This window comes from Homo sapiens, chromosome 5 (assembly GCF_000001405.40).
Source record: "Homo sapiens chromosome 5, GRCh38.p14 Primary Assembly".
Classification (NCBI taxonomy): Eukaryota; Metazoa; Chordata; class Mammalia; order Primates; family Hominidae; genus Homo; species Homo sapiens.
Genome location: NC_000005.10, coordinates 152311506 through 152335351, shown reverse-complemented (window position 1 = coordinate 152335351; position 23846 = coordinate 152311506). Strand labels below are relative to the sequence as shown.

Below are 23846 nucleotides of genomic sequence, written 5' to 3'. Positions count from 1 at the left end.
TGTGACCATCCTTCCCTCTATTGATAGAAGTGAATCTAGCTGCAATCCCATTAACTATTGTCCCAATGCACTAATGTGAAGCAGGTGCCCTATGTCAAAGATTTTTCATTTGAATTGCTATCAAACTAAGTTACCTTTATCACATCTCTCCTCTGTACACACTCACTTCATCTCCTGCAGCATATGGTAACTTCAAAACATCTTTCAGCACAGGCAGAAATAGAATTCCCAACACTATCCATTTATCTGCATTTTCTCTGCAACACTGAGCAGTAAGCATGGCCTGAGCCTCTGATGATGTTCAAAGTAGTCCAAGGAGACAGAAGACAAAATGCCCACTGAGGAACAGGATGAATAATTCTCTCTGATGGAAGATAACTTTGTTCTATTAGATTCTCAACATGATGTGGCTTTGTTTCAGGGGCCAGTATCTGATCATTGCCTCCATGCTATATTGATGGTCCATCTACTCTTCCGGACTGAGAGGGATCTTAAGGACATCTTATCCAATCCCCTCAGTCTAATAGCAAGCTGAGGCCCAGAGAAAAGAAGGAACTTGCCCAATCAGTGCTAAAGGTGGGACTCAATCTCAGATCTCAGGGCTCCAAAGCTCTCTCCACTACATTTGAGTGTTAGAGATCATCTAGTCCAACGCTGCATTTATAGTTGGGCAAACTGGGGCACAAAGAGAAAAGGTTTTTCAGCTCAGGAGTGCTCACAGCAAGGACAACTCAGGTTTTGTTACCAATGTTTTTCATTGAAGAAAAAATAAAATATTATTTCCTGCATTTCTGTGCTGGATGAGGGCATCCAGTCCATATTACTGACAATAATGCCCGCATGGTTTAACTTCTTCCTTCAGTACTACAGGCATCTTGCAAGAAGAGCCAGATCTCATCTTGACCATTATATCACCTCTACATGTTTCCCAATAAAAATAGACACGCTTGATTCTCTAGGTCATGCTGGCCTCATTATATGAGACTACCAGGGAGTAGAAGTTCAAGTCAAAGTAGAAATGACAGGGAACTCCAAATGCATTCTCAGTCAGCAACTTCTGTCTGACCATCGATGACACTGGCCTAAGAATTCACTCCAGTCAGTCTCACACAGAAAGCCCAAAGATGAGTACTCTTTAAACAATTTCATCAATGAAAGCCCCCACAAGCACACTCAATTGTCAATATTCTGCAAATACTCAATTGCCAATATTCTTCAAGCAAAATTTTATTATCCATTCTCTGCAGGCAACACACTGTTACCAGCCCCCTATCATGAATGCCCATTTTTCTACCTGTTTTGTGCCTCTTGTGAGGATAATCTGTATCTCCAGGCAGAATTGCATCACTGTGCTTAGGAGTTAGCCATAGGATGCTGTTGAATGAAGCAAAGAAGGATGAGCAGGTGTCAGTAGGGAAAACTATATACAGGAGTGGCTTAGGGTGATAATCTTCCCAGGAACTCGTCTCAAACTACATTCTTCTTATCTGGATTGTGCATGGCTAGTATTTTTTAAACAGCAAATATTTTCTAAAAGATGCCTTCTTTCACATTTTTAAAGTTGAGGAAATATCTTCAATTATTCACATGGAAATAGTATTAATTTAATTTGACATGAGTTGAATAGGAATGGTGGGATTCCAAGAGATGGAAGCTCACCTCAACCTCCCTCACTGCCACCATCAGGTGCAGACCCCTAAAGCAATAAAAACAACTAACTAAATAAATAAATAAATAACCTAAGCCAGGTGGCCAGCCAGCCCAAGAATTTCCTGTGAAGGTTTGCAGTTCAGAACTCTTAGGCCAGCCTCCTGTACCACATGGAGGCATCGCAATGCCCCACACACAGCCAATAGGAGGTGATGCACAGATTCTAAGCAGGTGAGCATGTCTCAGAGAGCTTTGTCAGTTAAGCTCGGGTTAAACAAACCTGCCTACAGCCTGCAGCATGAAGGTTTTATTACCCAGGCAGCACCTCTAAAGAAGGATTAAGAGAACTCTATCATGGGGATGGCAGAATCTTAATTGAAATCCACGTTGCTGTATTTGCATCCCTAGAGAGAATCTGGGGCTTCGAGTTTCCCAAATAGTGAGTTGCTATCACTCTGAGAATTCAGCTCATCTAAACAGTTCTGCATGCAGGGATACTGCAAGCATATCTTTTTCCCCACCTGCTCCTCCTCCCATACCTAACTAGGGGTCAGGAGAGTGTGATCTCACATTAGCATAGAAGTTACAGCACATCCTCTCATTTGCTTCTGATTTTCAATTACACTGGTATAATGTACTTAAAATCTGTCTTTTATTTGGAAAGATAAACACAGCAGTTTTGTAATTTTATTGCTATGTCAATTTGCAAAGAAAATTCTGTTTAAACTCAGTGACTGGCCTACTGCCACCATCAGCCAATGGCAAGCTGCTGTCTACAGGGACAAAGAAGGTGCCAGCTGAGTCTCTTGGGTGGATGACGCAGCTGGCAGGAAATCTCTCTTTGTCTCTTCACCTGTCCCATGAGATACTCTGGGGGTTTTCTCAGTATCTAAAGCCCAGACTTAGAAAGATTGATTTTTTTTTTCTTATTTTTTCCAGCTGGTTTGCAGAGAGCCAATATTAATTAGATATCCGTGATGCATCTGGCACTAAGTATTTTTTACACACTAACTCATTTGATCCTCATAACCATCCCTTGAAAAGGCCATTATTATCCCCAATTTGATGATTGAAAAAATGGAAACAGAAAAATTAGGTGACATGAACAAACTCTTACATTGTGTGGTCTAGACACAACCCCACAGCTGTCTGTTCATAGCTGACATGTCTAATCATATTGCACACCGACTTTTACTCCATTCTCCTGGCCCACTCTAACCTACTTGGCACATAGTAGAAATTCAATAAATGTTTGTTAAAAATATAGATGATTTATTGGCCTCAAACTTGCTCCCAATGTTGGGCATATCCTGACACTTACCAGAGCACTGATTAAGCCCTAATTCAGATCACATACTTTAGACTAACCTTCCAAGTCAGGTTATGATATACTGGCCAGACGATTCCAGTCAGAGATGGACTCTTCCCCATCCTTATGCACAGCTTATTGGGTGACCCTGCCTAGCTAAAAACTTTCTTTCAGCTCCTAAAACTCACCACGTTCATTCCTCTCAAGGGCCTTGCAAATGCTTTGCCATCTGACTAAGCCATGTCCCTGCCCCCTCCACACAAGCAGCTTCTGTTTCTCTTTCCCATATCACCTCAGTCATCATTTCCTTGGGGATGCCATCTTGACCGTCTGGCCTGAGTCAGGTTTCTCTAGTAAATACTCTTACAGAGGCACACTCTTTCACAATGCTCATCTCTATCTATGATTGTTCAGAAACTTGTATGCTGCTTTGATTCAAGCCTGCCTCCCCTGCCAGCCCACAGTCCCAGGAGGGCAGGAAGTGGGTCTCTTTCAAGACAACAATGGATTCCCAGCATTCAGCACAGTGCTTGGCTTATATCAGCAAACATCTGTCAATGACTATCTAGACCATGTCCTCTTCACAGCCACTGGCTTTTCACCCTAACCATAAACTGGAAACTCATGGTCCAAAAGTTCTGAAATAAGCACAGTGGTACAATGAACGATAGGTAAGAAATTATGAAAGCCTCAGTCAACGCTGAGGATTTACTGATATCAAATGATCTTTCCAAATGAAAGAAAACCCATCAAGTTCAAAAATTCCAGAACTTTAGTTCATGCACAGATAAAACAAAAGGGATGCATTCATTGGTTGGCCGTATCTCTCCCATCTTTTACATTTCTTTCCAGTGTCAAAAGGACTTGGGTGGGTAAAGATATAATTATTCCTTGTGTAAAGGAAAATCCATTATATCAAGTTCTAAGGAATAGTTCAAGTTATTTTGTTCACAAAATTTTGTTGTGAAAGATATATGTTAGGTATCATTAAGCCATTCACTAGGGCTGGAAATAGATACGCTATACAGAAATTTTCACTGCAAGCAAATCTCTTGAAATAAGATTTAATGTGTGAATCATCTTGGGAGAAGATAAGCCAGTGGGAATGATTATGTAATGTTTACACTTGCATTGCTCAATTAATTATTTATTTCATTAAATATTTACTGGATGCCTGCTCTGTGCCTAGCACTAGGCTATGGCATTGAAAGGCAGTCCCTTTCTCAGCAAAGCACTCCAAATTCATTATATGCACTCTGTATAAGGAAAGGAAAAGAGAGTCGAAAGAAGTTTTATTGTTTACTTAAAAGTCACATGCACCAAACTAATGCCAGAGCTAGAAGCCTGGTTGCTCAGCAAGCCTTATCCAATTAACAGAGGCCTCAGGGAACTTGGGGTGGCATGAGGGTGAGTCTATGGCTGGGGATGGGCTTTAGGCTAAAGCCTGAGTCAGGGATCTCTGGCTGGAGTCAGAGGTCCACCTGGAGAGAACAGGACCTGGCTTATAAGGAAATCAAATTATCAGGTATTACAGGATAAAATAGAACACCAGAGAGAGAATAGGAGTTGCCACTGGTTCAGCAAAGAGAAACAATCTCTATGGTAGAAGGAGTACCAATTAGCAGCAAGAAATCTGAATTTTCATCCCATCTGGGTCACTGACCCTCTCAGAGATGGTACCCCTGTGGGCCACACTGTCCCCCATAGTAAAAGCAAGGGTTGGACTACAGAAGCGATTTTCAGCTTTGGCTGTATGTTGGAATCAACTGGAGAGCTTTAAAACACTGATGGCTTGGTCCCAACCCTAAAGATTCTGATGACATTTGTGGAGGGTAGGACCTCCAGCACTGCGAATTAAAAATCTCTCCAAGTAATTCTAATGTGCAGCCAAGGCTGAAAACCACTGGACAAGAAATTCTCTAGGGCTCCTTTCAGCCCCAATAATTCATCATTTCACAATGTAAGACAGTATTTCCCAAACTTTAATATGCATAAGAATCACTTGGGATCCCTGTTTTTAAAAATTCGTTTCCGAGATCCATCTCTAGAGATTTCATTGCAGTATATTTAAAATGGAGCCCAGGAGTCTGCATTTTAAAAACACCCCAGATCCTAGGAGGTCACTGTGAGACTCACTAATCTAAGGATTATTAGACATACAGGACTCCATTTCTCATCATCATCGTAATCACCAAACAGGCTTTCAGACCCAAAGCTCACAGCTAGGAGGGCTGTTATAAGGCAGACACATCCAATCACCAGAGTCAGGCTTAGCACTTGGCCTATCACAAGGCTGACAGATGGCAGAGGGAGGGTTCCTTGGTTTTCAGGAGAAAAAAAAACATGATGCTGCAGTATGCCACTGCAGAGGCAGAGACAGGCCGAAGATTGATAGTCCACAATGCTACTGAAATTCACCATCAACCAAGCATCTTGTGACATCAGCAGCGATGCCACTAGCCATTATCAAATCACCCAGGGTGCTCAAGATTGATTTCCAGCTGTAGCAATGACGCTCACCCTCTCTAGGTGCATAGGCAGGAAACAAGCTCCAAACCTGACTGTAATTTAGCATTCATTTGCATTTTTAAATTAGTTAGGCTGTGGACCGTTGCAAAGAAATGACAGAGAATTTTTATAATAATTAGCCTTGTGGGATGGGTTGGGGAGAGGGGGCAGGAATGGCTCTGCCTCACCATTTCACTGGAAGGAAAAACAAAATTCAGCATCTCAAGTCACCAGATCTGATTATGATTTCCCGGTCCTCACTGACCTTGTGGACCATGGCCGTGTCTCCAAAATCTCAGCTGAACACTCAGGTCTGTATACGTCCTTCTTTCCTGAGGCTAATTCCACTCTCCCCCTTTTCTCCCCTATACAGCCCGTTTAACATTTCCTTATGTTGGCTAGACGTCACTACATTCCCTTTTGTTCACTTTGTTTATGACTGAATTCAGCTCCACTCTGTACAAATACTCACTCAGTATGTGTCAACACCGTGATGCATCTGCTAAAAATAACACTGATAGAGCTCTTCACAGTTTGCAAATGACATTTTCATCTCCATTATCTCAAATGAGTCTGTCATCATTTGCTGGGGTTAACTAGGGTAGGAGTTATCCCATATTTTATAGATAAGAAAACTATAAAGAGGCTTGGGGAAATCTAGTGACTTGCCTAAGGTCATACAACTTGCAAATGGCTTTGCTAAGATCAGAATAAAATCTCTGACCTCTAAAATCTATACCAAGTTGCTTCAATCTCAGGATGCAATATAAAGGGTATAAGGATCACAATAGAGAAGGGCAATGTTCTACTTCATAGTTTAAATCATTTCAACAAACCATACAACATCACCAGCCCCACTTCCACTCTGAGCACCATGCTTGGAGAGGTATTTTGAGAAGGAAATTGGTAACTGGAAAGGCAAAAGAGATTTTTAAGCCTTGTCATTCAAGGAATAACAGAAACTAGGAATATTTAATCTGGAGGACATTTAGAAGATTGATAAAAGCTAACTTCACAAAAATAAAGGGCTTTCTTGGAAAAGGAACTGCATGCTTTTTCTGTGCAGCCACAAAGGAATTATAAAAAGGCAAATTTCAACTTGATGTGGATCAGTACTGTACAATGAGTAGGGGCTCTAGAGTCAAACGCCTAGGTTCAAAACTATCACTTCCAACTGAGTGATTTGGGGCAAGTTTATAATTTCTAATTCCAAAGATACTTGTCTATACAAAAGAAATAATTATGGCTACCTTATAGGATTATTGGTATCATCAAATGAACTAATGCAAACAAAGTCAATAAATGTTTAATAGATAATACATGTTCACTATATACTAATTAAGGTCATATCTATGGCATATACACCAAGGAAAGAGGTTTATACTCACTTACCCCAGAAAACCTAATAAGTAGATTTTGATCCTCCGTATATAGTTGAAGGATAGTTTCAAAACAGAGTAAAGAAAGAAGGAGCAACAAACTATTCTTCCCAGCCATAAGAGACCCTTGTAAACAGTTACCAGCCCATCAATGGTTTCTTTCACTCAAATGGTTTCTGGAAACCATATCAATAAGTCATGATGGGTTGAGGGACACATACCTCAAGCAGGAGAGAAACTGGATATACACTATCACTACTTTTATATAACATTGTATTTGTCCTAGCTAGTGTAATAAAGCAAGGAAATAAATAAAAAACATAAGGATAGAAAGATAAAGAAGCAAAACTGTCATTTAAATGGACAACATGACTGTATACTTATAAAATACAAAAGAATTGACAGATAAACTATTTGAATTAATAAGTAAACTAAACATGGTCATTAGAAATAAAGCCAATCTATAAAAATTAGTTGTATTTCCATATATTAGTAACACTATAAATTAGAAAAATTAAGTTTCAAGGAGTGTAGCATTAATAACAGCATTAAAAAACACTAAATTCCTAGGAATAAATGTGACAATAGATACAGAAAACTACAAACATCACTCACAAAAATGGAAGATAAGCTAAATAAATGAAGGTATATGTTCACATATTAGACATATTGGCATATAATAAATATGTCAATTCTTCCCAGGCCAATCTGCAAATTCTGTGTAATCCTTTTTGAAAGCACATCAGATTTTTTAAGACAAACTGACAACCTAATCCTAAAATGTATATGGGAATTTAAAGTGCCAAGGCCAGTGAAAGTAAAGAACAACAACATAGGCTACTATATTTAGAATCTATAATAAAGCTATGACAAATTTTATATATATATATAAAATATAGACATATGTATTTCTATACACACACTATATATTATGTATATATGTGCATACACATATGCACATACACATATGTACTACATATATACATATATATATACTATAATTTTTTTATCTTTTGTTTTTCCCAATGATATTTTATAGTTTTTCATGAAGTGGGTTACATGTCTTTTTTTACGTTTATTCCTCTGAATGTGGAAGTTTTGATGCTATTGTAAATGACATACTCTTTTAATACAGAGAGCAATTTCCTTGCCCAGTATTTATGCAAGAAAATAGCAAACTGATAAATAACAATGGTGACACATCAGTCCAGTATCATCCTGATACCAAAATCTGGTAAGGACACAGTAAAAAAAAAGAGACTACAAGCTGATATCCCTGATGAACATAGACACAAAAATCCTCAACATAATACAAGCAAACTAAATCTAGCACCACATCAAAAAGATAACAATTCATCATGATCAAGTAGGCTTAATTCCTGGGATGCAAGGATGGTTCAACATAAGCAAATCAATAAATGCAATTTATCCCATAAACAAAATTAAAACAAAAACCATACGATTGTTTCCATGGACACAGAAAAAGCATTTAATAAAATTCAACATCCCTTTATGATAAAAACTCTCAACAAACTAGGCACGGAAGGAACATACCTCAAAATAATAAGAGCCATATATGACAAACCAACAGCCAACATGACACTGAATGGAAAAAAAGTTAGAAACATTTCCCATAAAGACTAAAAGAAGACAAAGATGTCCACTCTTGCTACTTCTATTCAACATAGGAAATACTAGCCAGAGAAATCAAGCAAGAAAAAGAAATAAAAGGGATCTAAATAGGAAAAGAGAAAGTCAAATGATCTTTGTTCACTGATGACATGATTCTATACCTAGAAAACCCTAAAGATTCCTCCTAGGACTGATAAGTGACTTCAGTAAAGTTTCAAGATACAAAATCCATGTATAAAAATCAGTCGCATTTCTATACACCAATAACATTCAAGCTGAGATCCAAATCAAGAACACAATCTCATTTATCATGGCCACAAAAAAATAAAATACCTAAGAATACATTTAACCAAGGAGGTGAATGATAACTACAATGAGAACTACAACACACTAATGAAAGAAATAATAGATGACACCAACAAATGAAGAAGAATTCCATCCTCATGGATTTTAAGAACTGATATCTAAAATGACCACACTTCCCAAAGTATCTACAGATTGAATGTAATTCCTAGCAAATTACTAACATCAGTTTTTACAGAACTAGAAAAAAAATTCTAAAATTTACATGGAATCAAAGAGCCCAAATAGCCACAGCAATACTAAGCAAAAAAAAAAAAAAAATACACAGGCATCAGATTACCCAACTTCAAACTATGCTACAAGACTACAGTAACTGAAAAACCATGGTACTCATACAGAAATAGACGCATAGATCAAGGGAACAGAATAGAGAACCCAGAAATAAAACCACACATCTACTGATCTCTGACAAAGTAGACAAAAATAATCAATGGAGAAAGGACATGCTATTCAATAAACTTTGCTGGGAAAACTGGCTAGCCATATGAAGAAGAATGAGTGAAACTGGACCCTTATCTATCACCATATATAAATATTTACTCAAGATAGATTAAAGACTTAAATGTAATATCTCAAACTATTAAAATTCTATAAGAAAACCTAGGAAAATCTCTTCTGGACATTGATTCTGGCCAAGAATTTATGACTAAGACCTCAAAACAAATGTGACAAAACAAAAATCAACAAACGGGATTTAATTAAACTATAGAGCTTCTGCACAGCAAAAGAAACAATCAACAGAATGAACAGAAAACCTACAGAATGGGGAGAAAATATTTACAAACTATGCATCTGATGGAGGACTAATATCCAGAAACTATACGGCACATAAATCAACAAGAAAAAAAACAAACAGCCCCATTAAAATGTGGGAAAAAGACATGAAACAGACACTTCCCAAAAGAAGACATACAAGTGGCCAAGAAACATATTAAAAATGCTTATGATCACTAATCATCAGAGAAATGCAAATTAAAACCACAGTGAGATATCATCTCATACCAGCCAAAGTGGCTATTATGAAACAGTAAAAAAATAACATATTGGCAAGGATGCAGAGAAAAGGGAATGCTTATATACTCTTGGTGAGAATGTAAATTAGTTTAACCCCTATGGAAAATGGTACAGAGATTTCTGAAAGAGCTACAAATAAATCTATTATTTAACCCAGGAATCCCACTACTGGGTATCTACCTAAAGAAAAATAAATTGTTTTATCAAAAATATACCTGCCCTTGCATGTTTATCACAGCACTATTGACAATAGCAAAATTATGGAATCAATCTAGGGCTCATCAGTGGTGGACTGGATAAAGAAAATATGGTAGATACACACCATGGAATATGACATAGCCATAAAAAAGAAGGAAACCATGTCTCTTGCAGCAACATGAATGCAGCTGGAGGCCATTACCCTAAATGAATTGACATAGAAAGAGAAAATCAAATACCACATACTCTCACTAATAAGTGGGAGCTAAGCAATGAGTACACATGGACATAAATATGGAAATAATAGACACTGGGGACTCCAGAAGTGGGGGATGGAGGAAGAACAAGGGCTCAAAAACTACCTATTGGGTAATTGGGTACTATTGTTACAGTAGGTAGCTAGGCAGACAGGAGCAGGGCAGGAGATGGCCTCCACCGAGGAATGTCAGGTGACCATCAGGTGATGGTCAGGCAGTTATTCAACTGTCTCTCTAAAATGATCATCAGTTGTAGCCAGCCCCAGGGAAAGACAGTCTTCCAATAGATAGAAAATACCTGAAGCTAGTGATCAGCAGCTTCCCAATAAGGTTTCAAGAGTTGGGTGAGTGGGCTCAAGCATGCACACTAAGAGGCAAAATGGTAGAGTTTAACTGGTATATGACCTACCTCTGGGAATGCCTGACTGGTAAGGGAAAATCACCTCAAGTGAGCATGTGCACAACTTCAGTAAATACACTGTACATGCGGCCCCTCCCAAGTTCTGGCAGGCCACTGCTGATATGGACAGCCCACCCCAAGGGAAGTCTCAAGAGAGAAGAAACACAAACTCCAGAACCATGCCAATGTATAAAACCCCAAGTCAAGGTCTGGATGGGGCACTTGAATCTCTCAAGCCACCCACTTGGCCCTCTTCCAGGTGCACTTTGCTTCCTTTTGTTCCTGCTCTAAAACTGTTTAATAAACTCTCATTCCTGTTCTCGAACTTGCCTTGGCCTCTCCCTCTGCCTTAAACCTACTTCTACCCCTCAGCTGAATTCTTTCTCTGAGGAGGCAAGGATCAAGATCTATGCAGACCCATGCAGATTCACCCCTGGTAACATTATGTTCATTATTTAGGTGAAGGGTTCAATAGACACCCAAACTCCAATATTATATAAGATAACCACATAACATATCTGCACATATACCTCTTAAATCTAAAAAAAAATTAAAATTTAAGAAGGTATACGAATTAAATATCCATATGGGAAAAAACTTGACCTCCTACTTATAGTATATGTATATATTTATATACAAAATAATTTCCAGATTTAAAATCTAAAGGTAGGAAAAAAAGTTCATAGGAAAATTTGAGAATATCTTCATAATTTTGAAAATGACAAAAATTTCTTAAACAGGATCAAAAGTGCTAATCATAAAGAAAAAAATAAATTGGCCGGGCGCGGTGGCTCACGCCTGTAATCCCAGCACTTTGGGAGGCCGAGGCGGGCGGATCACGAGGTCAGGAGATCGAGACCATCCTGGCTAACACGGTGAAACCCCGTCTCTACTAAAAATACAAAAAATTAGCCGGGCGTAGTGGCGGGCGCCTGTAGTCCCAGCTACTCGGGAGGCTGAGGCAGGAGAATGGCGTGAACCCGGGAGGCGGAGCTTGCAGTGAGCAGAGATCCCGCCACTGCACTCCAGCCTGGGCGACAGAGCGAGACTCCGTCTCAAAAAAAAAAAAAAAAAAAAAAAAAAAGAAAAAAATAAATTGGATTGTTTAGAAACTTTTGTTTACCAAACTCTTCAGTGAAAAGGCAACCCATAGAATAAGAGACAATATGTATAATATGCCTATCTGAGAAAAGACTCAGAGCCAAAATATATTAAAGTTTTATACAAATAAATAAGAAACGACAATCGGAAAGGGAAGAAGGCAAAGACTTAAAAAAGCACATTACAAGAAGATATCCAAATGGCCAATATTTATGAAAAGGTGCTCTACCTCTTAGAGTTTAAGGAAATGCAGACTTAAACCACAACACGATTCTGTAATATATCTACCAGAATTGCTAAAAGAGAAAAAAGCACCACCAACCAGAACCCAAATGTTGGCCAGGATTTTGAATAGCAACTGGAATTCTCAAGCATTCCTGATAGGAGTATATATTAGTATAAATATATTGAAAAGCATTTTGGTAGTATTTACCCTATGACTCAACAATGACATACTTAGGTAATAACCCAATAGAAATGCATACATATGCTAATCAAGACACGTAAAAAGGTGTTTATGGCAGCATTGTTTATAATAGCCCCAAATTAGAAACTATCCAAATGCCTATCAACTATAGAATTAATAAACTGTGATATAATGAAACACAAAATGGAATACAGCACTGGGAATGAATACACAACAACTACATGTGATGATGTGGATGAATTTCACAAACCTATTGTTGAACAAAAGAAGCCAAACAAAAGAAATACTTACTTTGGTATTTATATTAAACTCAAAAAGAGCTACAGCTAATCTACAGTGTTAGAAATCAGGATAGAAATGAGCATGAGGAGGGCTTCTAGGGTACGGGTAATAAATATTGTTTCTTAATTTGGGTGTTATTAGGATACATACATTGTGAAAATTCATCAAGCTATACACTTAAAATATGTGTATTTTTCTATATGTGTGTTAGAATTCAATAAAAAAAGTACAAAAACTACCAAAAAGGTATGAAGTTGGGATTCTCTTTTGGTTGGGACATGAGGCACTTGAAGGGGAGCAGGAGCAGACAAGACAAGAAGGATTTATTGGGCCCAGACTGACAAGTACCTCAAATGCCAGGAACAGATGTTTGGACATATTTCTCTAAACCAGGATTTGGCAAATTTTTTAATATTAAGGACTAGATAGTAAATATTTTAGGCTTTGCAGGTCATGTATTCCCTGTTGCAACTACTCCACTCTGACTTTGTAGCATGAGAGCACCATTGCTAATATGTACATGAATGAGTGTGGCTGTATTCCTATAAAGTTTTATTTACAAAAACAGGAGGGCCAGACTGCCTGCCACTGCTCCAGTGAGAGCCATGGAGTATTTTTGAGCATTTAGTGAGGTAATCAAAGTTGTGCTTCAGGAAAACCATTCTGACAGCAAATTCAGAATAGAGTAAAAGGAGAGACCACCACATTCCACCAGAAAGACAAAACTGGGGCAGAAGATGATGAAGAAGCATTGATTGGGGAGGAGACAACGGGGAGTGTCAGTAACTTCTGGGTGCCTCTGCAGCTCCTGTCTCCCCATCGAGGATGGAAGGCATTAAATCTGCCCCACCCACTTACCCTGCCACACACAAACACACAGAGAAAGTCATGATTATTTGGTGGGTCAGAGTCCAGAAAACTGATTGAGCTGCTCTTTCTGGAGGTGGTGCTCTCAAAGAGACACACAGACTTGATACCACTTCCTGGAGGATCTCTCTCCAGCCATGTCCACATCTCTGGATGTCTTCTTTTTTTCTGGCAGAGTAGTCAGGCCTGAGCTTTATCCAGCCTGGAAGAGCTTGAAGAGACAGTGGGAGCAGGATGCTGTCTTTCCATTGATGTCTGCTTCTTTCTTTATCAGCAGGTGGAAGTTTTCATAGTGTTGAATGGGCAGGCACCTAAGTTTGGAGGGAAAGTAGGTCATTTGGACTTCTTTCACTTTCCTCCGGGCTGCCTCTGGCCTCAACAAGAGGACACAAACACCTGGCCCAGTTCATTCTTACTTTGGAGTTTAAGTTCAAAACCAGCTAATAGTGTAATTTTTACTTTTTTTTTATATTTTAAGTTCTAGAGTACATGTGCACAAAATGCAGATTTGTTACACATGTATACATGTGCCATGTTGGTGTGCTGCACCCGTTAACTCATTATTTACATTAGGCATATCTCCTAATGCTATCCCTCTCCCCTTCCTCCACCCCACAACAGGCCCTGGTGTGTGATGTTCCCCACCCTGTGTCCAAGTGTTCTCACTGTTCAATTCCCACCTATGAGTGAGAACATGTGGTGTTTGGTTTTCTGTCCTTGAGATAGTTTGCTCAGAATGATGGTTTCCAGTTTCATCCATGTCCCTACAAAGGACATGAACTCATCCTTTTTTATGGCTGAATAGTATTCCATGGTGTATATGTGCCACATTTTCTTAATCCAGTCTATCATTGATGGATATTTGGGTTGGTTCCAAGTCTTTGCTATTGTGAATAGTGCCACAATAAACATACATGTGCATGTGTCTTTATAGCAGCATGATTTATAATCCTTTGGGTATATACCCAATAATGGGATGGCTGGGTCAAATGGTATTTATTTTTACTTTTTTTTTAGGAAGCTTATCAAAAGAGAAATAACTGGGTGAAAGCAGGGTTTGTATACTCCTGGGTCCTCTGGCCTTACATCATCACATAAACCCTAACCCCTTTTCACTGCTGTCCAGTATCCCCTAGCTGCTATTACTCCACTTGCCAGGCAAGTCAGCCCTACAGGTGAGTAATAGGAAGAATAACCTGACCTAAACTACTGGACATTGGAGAAAATGGTTTAAGTATATACATTCCTCGATTTCATCTTGCCTCTCTTCTGGTATTCTTCCTGTCCTCCTACCTTTCCAGGCACAAATACACACATGCCATTGAATGAGTTACCATGAGAGCAGGAGAAAGGAGAGAGAACAAACCACTCCCAGCATGTGAAATTTTCATACCTTCTGAAAATGAAGAAGGAAAGACATGTGGCCTCCCACCCTGAGCCATTTTCCTACAGGCAGTTTCTTTCTAGCCCTCCACCCTCCAGGCAGATATATTCACCTTGTTAATAATTCCACCTGCATCAAAAAACATTACCTTCATGACCGGAAAGTAGCAGCATCATTACTGAAACCACAGCCTGCAGTCAGATGGATTTTCCCAAAGGCCCCCAAACCTTTCCATTTTATTACCATGTCACTCCTCATTTTAACAAATATTAATCATAAAGATACATTTTTCTTGGGCTATGTATTTAAGTGGCCTTTTCCAAGCACTTGGTAAAGGTTGGTTCAGGTGAGAAAGAAAAAGGAATGATTAAATTTGCAAAGTCGGATCTCTATCCTAATTTATTTATGCAAAAAGAAGGAATTTTCTGGCTTGTTGCAGATTTCAAAAACATGTTATGGACACATTCCTTTTGTGGTTAGGATGTGGTAAAGCATACTGGATAAGGGACTGGAGTTTAAATCACCCTAGTTTCAAGCGTGGCTCCACTACTTACTAGCTGTATGACCTTGGACAAATGAACTCAGTTTTCTGACCCTCAGTTTCCCCATCTCTAAAGTGGGAATACTTCCTCCCAAAATGGCTGTGGAGCACAAATAACGCTGAAGCCAGTGCCTGCCTCACAGTAAGTGCTCAATAGCTTTTAGCCAGTGTTTTTGTTCTTTTGCCTTGGTTAAACATGTCACACTAAAAGCCCCATCTCACTTTATTAAAACAAGGCCCACTCAAGCTATTCTCCTTCCTCTTTCCTGCTGCTTACAAAAAAAGGCCCAGTGATTGCTCTTATGCTTTTTTTTGTCTATTGTTTTTGTTTTGTTTCAAGATTCTCTGAAATCTGTAAAGGGAAAAGCAAATTGTTTTCTCTATTTCTTTTAGTGTTGAGTGAATTTCTCTCCCACTTTTTGCTATTTCAAAAGTAGAAGCCTTCTACTTTTGAAAGTAGAAAGGCTTTCTGGATAGAGAAGATAAAGTATTGATTAGGCTCAGAATATCCCTGGTAAAGAAGAAATTCAAAGTACGTGACTCTCTTGTGCAAAGGCCATGCTTCAGTGGAGCTTCGGAACTGTTGCTTGTATACTGGTCTGTGCTGTATAAATTCAATGTCACTCTCTCACACTAGCCCCCATCCCCTCTTCCGACCAGCAGCCTGAAACAGACCAGAAACCTGGTCTAGGGCACAGGTGTGGATTATATGCAGGAGAAAGAAATCTTGTTAGCTTTCAGGAGGATACAAGCTATTACTGTGGTCTTGTGGGTGCTGAGCTCAAAGCATTAAGTCCGCAAACATAAGGATGACAAGAGGTAAAACAGTACAAGGCTCAGTGTCAGGGGACCTAAATTTGAAACCCAGGTCTGCCACCAAATGACTGTGGGACAAAGACCAAGTCACACTCAATCTCTGCCCTCAGGTGTTTTAGTTATTAATGAAGACTTTAGATTGGATATCCTCTGGGGCCCCTCTTGGCTCCAAGATACCATGTCTACACTAGTAGATTCAATACTTGTATAAAAGCAAAAGTATATAGCCTTTGCTTTTCAGGAATTAATTAGTAAATGTAGTCATATTATGTTAAAAGGGAAGACCCTCATCCATGTTGGGAAACTTCCATCATATACTAGTCAGGTTCTTTGCCGGCAACAGACACTACTCCTAATTCTCTCATGAAAAAGAAGAGCTCAATGGGATGACACAGGGTAGTGTTTGGAACTGGAGGATGAGTGAGTTTTATGAATGTCATGGTCTTGTGAAGTCAGGAAAGGAGAGTCTGGAGTTCTCCATGGAAGGAATTCATGAACTGTCGTTTCTCAAACAGCCTTATGATAACCCTGTTCTAGCTTCTTGCTTTTCAACCTGACTACAGCAAGAGTGTTCCCATCATGCATCAAGCTTTAGAGGAGAGCATGGAAGGAGAACATGGCTGGTCTGGCTTGGGCCACCTGTCCTCTCCTGTGGTAAAGGAGTGAAGGGTCCTATGACTGGCAACCCCTCCAGAGACACATAGAGAGAAGGGCGGATCTCTAGAGGTTGACAAAAGGGAGTCCCTATGTAGCCTGATGACAGCTGAGGAAATTTACCTTCCACCAAGAAGGCATGGCCACTGAGAGTTTTGTCCTCTAGTTACCAGGAAAGGAAAAGTATCTGTCATGTTAAGCTTGAAACAGGTCATTACTGTTATGCTATGAGCAGGTTTTCTTGGATAGTTTTTCTAAGGAGAGCATCTACCCCAGGCCATGCCCTCTGTTTGGCCCTTGACTTTCAAACTTCTGAGAAACAGGCTTTACTAGCTTCTTTATTAGCAGAAACCAAGGCTCAGTGAGGCTGAGCTGTCCAACTCTACACAACAAGCATGAAGTAAGTGGGATGGGAACCCACATTTGGCTCCAAAGTCTGACCCTATTCACTGTATTCTGTGCTGATAGGGTAGGGGAGCCGAAATATTTTCCAGCCTCTGATAAAGAAAGACCTGGAATCCTGAGGGCTGGGATGCAAATTTTTGCCTGGGTCTTTCTCAGGCAGCAATACGCCTTCCAAAGAGGAGAACCTGTAGGCAGAGAAGGAATTTCAGAGAGGAGTGAGGAGATTTAAGCCCTCATCCTTTATGAAACACTGTTCATCCCTCTTTGGTTGCTTTCACCAATGCTCTGGAAGTTCATAGCCTTTGATAAATAAAAAGAAGATAACTATGATTTTTAAACTTTAAATTGTAGAGAGAGAGAAAATGCAATAATCTTTCACTCTTCTCCAGTGCTACTCTTTAAGGTTAATTTATGTTCCATAAAGGAACTAGATTGAATAAGAAAAAATAAATGTAAAACCGATCTCAAAAAGCTGTAAGTTATATATTCCTTCTCCTGAAAGGTAATTTCTATTTCTGCTTGATTCCTATGAGGTGAAGATGAATAACCCCAAGGTTTCCTTTTCTCAAAAAATGGTATTGAGCCTTCCACATGCAGCTTTTGATTGAATCTGTGATTTGTCTCTTGTTAACTTGAGCCCCAGAAAACACCACTGCAGTGACAGGCCTCTTGTGCTTTTCCAACTAGTAGACTAAAGAATCCAAATTTCCTCTTTCAGATAAAAAAAAAAAAAAACTTAAGACCACAGAGCACAAGTGATTTTTTTCAAAGTCACCATCAGGAATATAGGGCCTTATAATATTAAAACAAACACACACACACACAAACACACACACCCATGTATCTGCGTGTGTACATGTGTATTCCTCGGTTTAGAGTCTGACCCACTGGTACAGTGGCTGTGAGAACTTGTGAAGCCACATCCAGGCCCAGGAGGAACAACTTCTATGATTGATTGCTAATTTCTGCTATGGTCACAGACATGGGAGTGATAGAATATGTTTCTAAGGCTGGGTACACCTGTAACCCCAGCACTTTGAGGGGCTGAGGCAGGCAGATTAAGTTGAGGCCAGGAGCTCGAGACCAGCCTGGCCAACATGGCGAAACCCCATCTCTACTAAAAATACAAAAAAAATTAGCTGGGTGTGGTGGTGCACACCTGTAGTCTCAGCTACTTGGGAGGCTGAGGAATGAGAATCACTTGAGCCTGGGAGGTGGAGGTTGCAGTGAGCCAAGATTGCACCACTGCACTCCCACCTGGGCAACACAGCAAGCCTCTGCCTCAAAAAAAAAAAAGAGTATGTTTGTAGTATTTGTTAACTAATATAGCAAGATTCTGATTCAAAATATATAATATGAAAGTCTAAAATCTATTAAAGGGAGATGGGAGAGGAAATGGCAGAAAAGTAGATCTGTGGCACACTGTCACCAGACAAGACCTGTAACTGTCCCTTTTCCTACAGTAATAGCTTTCTTGCCTTATGATATGGTTTAACTGTGACCCCACCCAAAAATCTCATCTTGAATTTTAATCCCCATGTGTTGGAGAAGGGACCTCCTGGGAGGTGATTAGATCATGGGCGTGGTTCCCCCATGCTGTTCCCATGATGGTGAGTGAGTTCTCATGAGATCTGATGGTTTTATAAGGGGGTTTTCCCCACTTTGCTCTACATTTCTCTCTCCTGCCACCATGTGAAGAAGGATGTATTTGCTTCCCCTTCTGCCATGATTTTAAGTTTCCTGAGGCCTCCCCAGCCATGTGGAACTGTGAGTTAATTAAACCTCTTTCCTTTATAAATTACCTAGTCTCGGTTATTCATAGCAGCTGGAGAATGGACTAATACACCCTACCACTCCAATATTCCTGTCCTTTAAGTCCTTAGGGCTTTAAGGAACTTCTAAAATCCTGAGAGGAGAGTGATTGCTTAAGTTCTTTCTGTTAGCTGGACATTTATCCGTGCACACCTTAATTATCAGCTAGCACCTTAATTAGCCGCTAACACAGTGGTTCTCAAACTCTGCTGCATGCTACAATCACCTGGGGAACTTTTAGCTCTCTCAATACTCAGGCTACATCCTAATTAAATCAGAATGGCTGGGGAATGGAGTCAGGCATGGCCACTTTTTAAAGATCCTCAGGCGATTTCAACGTACAGCTAAGTTTGGGAACCATTGATTTAAGATCTAAACAAGCAGTAGAGATGCTGCCCAGAAATCCAGAAGTAACAAATGGGTGGCAGCACTAGAACCAAAGTTCTGGTTTGTACTCTGGTACCCAATTCTGGAGGAGTCAATGAAACGCCCTCATCTGAATACCTCTAAAGATTCCTAAGCACATATGTAAGAAAGCTGCACTTGTGTAGTAAAAAGTCAGTGGCTTAAAAGACATGGGAGAGACTTCAATTATAAACAGATGTACACAGATTTAGATAGACTCATGAATGACAAGTGAGCTTGTTATTAGAATCATGAAATGTCAAAGCTAGGACAAGTGCAAGATAGCATCAAATCCAACCCATTCATTGTATAAATGAGGAAACTAGAACCCAGAGAGAGAAAAGCACTTATGACCACTCACTAAATTAATGGTGGCTCCAGAACTTTATACAAGGTCTTCACATCCATGTCCCACTATTGATTTCACTGTTCCACATTGTCACTCTGCTTTTTCTTTAGGACCTAACATGTCCAAAACGGAACCAGTTATTCCCATACCCCAAACCCAGCCTTCTTCAACTACCAAGGGCCTTGCCCAAACTTGTGGTGGTCATCATTGATTTATCCATGCCCGTTCCTCCCTACAGTCAACCCATCAGCAAGTCCTTTAGTGTCTACCTCAAAATATACCATCCACCTGTCCACATCTTACCATATATATTGTCATCATTCCTATTCAAAGCCACTCAACTCTTGCTTGAATCATTGTTATAGCCTCTTAACTGGGCTCCTGGCTTTCCTCTCTGTTCCCATGCTCCACACAGGAGCTCCATTCGTATCCTTAAAACACAAATCAGATTATGGAGCTCCCTTTGCTTAGAAAATATTTCAAAGGATTCCTGTTGCACTTAAAAGTCAAACTACTTCCTGGGCCTATAGGTGCTGAATGGTTTGGGCTATGTCTCTCTCACACCTCAGCTAAGAACACTCCCCACCTACTAAGCTTCAGTAACAACTATTTTCCTTCCATTCTTAAAACCTTCTGAATTCTCTCCAGCACCAGCTCTTCTGCCCATGATGTTTCCTGCCTGAAATGCTGCCCTTTCCCTACCCCGACTCCTTTTGCTTTGGCTGGCTCTTTCCCAGTCTTCAGAACTCAGGTTAAACAGCTCTTCTCTTTCACTGAGGGCCCTAAGTTAGGTCTCTATTAAGCCTCATTTTGGCTCCACCTTAGCTCCTTTCTAACATTTAATAACACCTGTAATTATTTCATGTATGTATTTGTTTTTAATTATTCTCTTCTACTAGAATATGAGCTCCACAAAGGCAGGGGAAAAAATCGTTTATTTGTTGTTATATTTATTCCTTGCATCTAAGAGAATATCTGTTCATTGGAGAAAGGAAGGAGGAAAAAGAAGGGAAGGGGAGGGGGAGAGGGAGGAGGAGGAGAGGGGGAGAGGGAGGGAAGGGGAGGAGAAGGGGAGGGGGAAGGGGAGGGGAAGGGGAGGAGAAAGGGAGGGGAGGGAAGAGGAAAGGGAGAGAAGGAAAGGGGGAGGGAAGCAGAGGGGAGGAGAGGGAAATGACATTATCATGACTTAAGTTGTCTTCTTGGAATCTTCCAGACAGTGCTGGATAAATGGCCAAACTAGAACTAGAACCCAGGTCTCCTGATAGCAGCACTAATGTTCTTTACTCATATTATGCCACTGCTTAAATGAATTAAGGACAGTTTGGACACTCAGAATCTCTTGGTGCCCCCAAGGAGGTAGACACCTGGCATGACAAAATTCTAACTTTATTTATTTATTTAGAGATACAATTTCACTCTGTCACCCAGGGTGGAGTGCAGTGGCATGATCTTGGCTCACTGCAACCTCTGCCTCCTGGGTTCAAGCGATTCTCATGCCTCAGCCTCCTGAGTAGCTGGGATTACAGGTGTGTGCCACCACACCCAGCTAATTTTTTCTTTTTTTTGTATTAGTAGAGACAGGGTTTTGCCATGTTAGACGGGCTGGCCTCGAACTCCTGACCTCAACTGATCTGCCCACCTCAGCCTCCCAAAGTTCCAGGATTACAGGCGTGAGCCACTGCACCCAGCCACAACTCTTAACTTTTTAAATGAAAGTGGCTATGAAGCGTTTTAGCAGCTCTGACTAGAGCTTTGGCTACAGCATGCAATAAACGCAGAAGTACTTGCTCTTTCAGTTCTGGCTCTGCCATTTCTTGTGTGATCTCCCTGAGCCTCAAGTTCCCCATCTGTCAAATGGGGATAATAAGCCCATACTGGCTATCATTAGAATAACAGTGAAGGATAAATGAGATCTTGAGTAAAAAGATTTGGAGACCTCACAGTATTGTCTGCATCCATCAGAACAATTGCTAGTGTTGCTAATACTATCAGCTTTACGATTTACCAAACATTCTGTTCTCTTCTCCTAGCCCCAGCATTTCTTCTTTGTGTATTAATAATGATTATGATGGGAATAAAGAGGAGGAGGAAGAAGGAGGAGGAAAAGGGGAGGGGCCTTTGGTCAGGGAGGAGAAGGGGGAAGGATGGTCACCACTTACTGGTTACCTTCTACATACCAGACTCTTTATAGGTAATAATTCTAATCTTCACCAACTCCCTATGAGGTATTACAATTCCCATTTTATAGGTGAGAAAAACCAAAGCTCAGAGGTAGGTTAAGTAAACTTCCTCACACACACAGTAAGTAAATAGCAAGCTGGGATTCAGATGCAAGTCCACATAACTCCAAAGCCCCTGTTTTTTTGACTATGCCATGCTATCTTCCTGGATTAATGGGAAAAGTATCTGGGCAGGAGTAAAAGGTAAAATCAAGCCACGTCAATACTCAGGCTGCAGCTACACTTATGACTGGCTACTGATTGTTGAATTTACCACCGAAGTGGCTATAAAAAATCATTTTAGACAAAGAACAGTGGGAGAAGTGATCATGTTTGCAAATGGTCCACCGATCTGGCCATGTTTATACAAACTTTTTTTTTCACTGTGGTAAAATACACACAACAGAAAATTTACCACTTTAACCATTTTAAAGTGTACAATTACATGACATTAGTACATTTACAATGTTGTGCAATCATCACCACTACCTAGTTCTAAAATTTTCAACACCTCAAAAAGAGACCCCATAGTATCCACTAATCAGTTATTTCTCAGCATCCCCACCCCACCCCCAGGCAACCACTAATCTTCTGTCTCTATGAATTTATGCAAGCTCTCTTAGTTCCTTCTTGTTTAATGTACTAGGATAAGACCCCTGAAGGATTGCTGTTTCAGAAAGCAGCAGCTCCCTTGCTGCTCAAGGTTCTGCTATAACATGTTCACCTGGCTCCCCAGGGGACCACCTGCTAAATATCTAACTTAAGGGCATGAGAGCTGGTGAAGAGTCAGTTCCTTCCCTCAAGCTAGCCATTATGACAGCAATTGAAGATACCTAAGAACATCAACGCCCATTAGAAGCTGTCCAGATCTCTGTGGACAAGCCAGAATTTCAGGAACAAAGGTGGGCAGGACCGCGGGGGAACAGTGGGACAAGCAAAGACTTTGCAGTTAGAGCTGAAGTTATGTCTTGAAACGTCCATAAGTTAGTTATGTGACTTTAACCAAGTCACTCTAGCTTCCTGAGCCTCTGTTTGCAAAACTATATAAACTGATACGGTAAAACTTAACTGGTGAGGGCTTGGGGGGAAGTTAAAGGGAGATTAAACGAGGCACTTAACATGTGTTTACTTTTACTTTAATTCTTGGATATCTGTCAATTCAGCAAGCAGTTATATCTACTGCACGTGATCTGAAAATCAAAACAAATGATAAAGACCTGTCTTTATCATGTGGAAAAACAGGCATTACATTGCTTCTACTGAAATGAAAAACAAATTTAGTAAGTTTTAGGTCAAATCTTCGTTTCATTCCTCTCTGTGGTCACAGGTCCAGGGTCTGAAACCAGGTTCCCCTGACCAGCACTTAACTCCTTAAAGGCTTCCATTTACCTTTCTTTATATTGGAGAAAATTATATTAAACATTAGCATTGCTATTATTACCACTTTCAATCTACACTATTTTATGTGGTGGAGAAAATAAATTATTAAAAAGAAACCATGATGTAGTCACTGTTCTGGGTTTAGTTCAAGTTATTTTTTACGTGCTAGGCACCGTTCTGGGTACCGAGGTGAAAAGATCAATAAAACAAGAATAATGTAAGCAGACAGTCTTGATTCCAAATCCCCTCTACACTAACCAAGTGACTTTGAACAAGAGTTATTTCATCAAGCTCGATTTGCTCCTCTATATAATAGAGATAATAATAGTACTAACTTCACAGGTTATTTTGAGGATGACGTGAGATCATCTATATAAAGTATTTGGCACAGTGCACCAAGTAAGTACTCAATTAATGTGGGCTATTAAAATTATAGCATAATTGTTAATAAGAAGCAAAGACAATAATATACAAAGATGAGCTCTGTTGGACAA

At 39.9% G+C, this 23846-nt stretch overlaps 1 long non-coding RNA gene across 1 annotated transcript in view; it reads left to right on the top strand.

Moving 5' to 3' along the window:
• Positions 1–5694: 5694 nt before the first annotated feature.
• The window catches only part of LOC105378236 (uncharacterized), a 34936-nt gene continuing 16784 nt past the window's right edge, over positions 5695–23846 (top strand). The window contains exon 1 of the long non-coding RNA XR_944432.3: positions 5695–5778. This is a non-coding gene — a long non-coding RNA (uncharacterized LOC105378236). The remainder of the gene's footprint in view (positions 5779–23846) is intronic.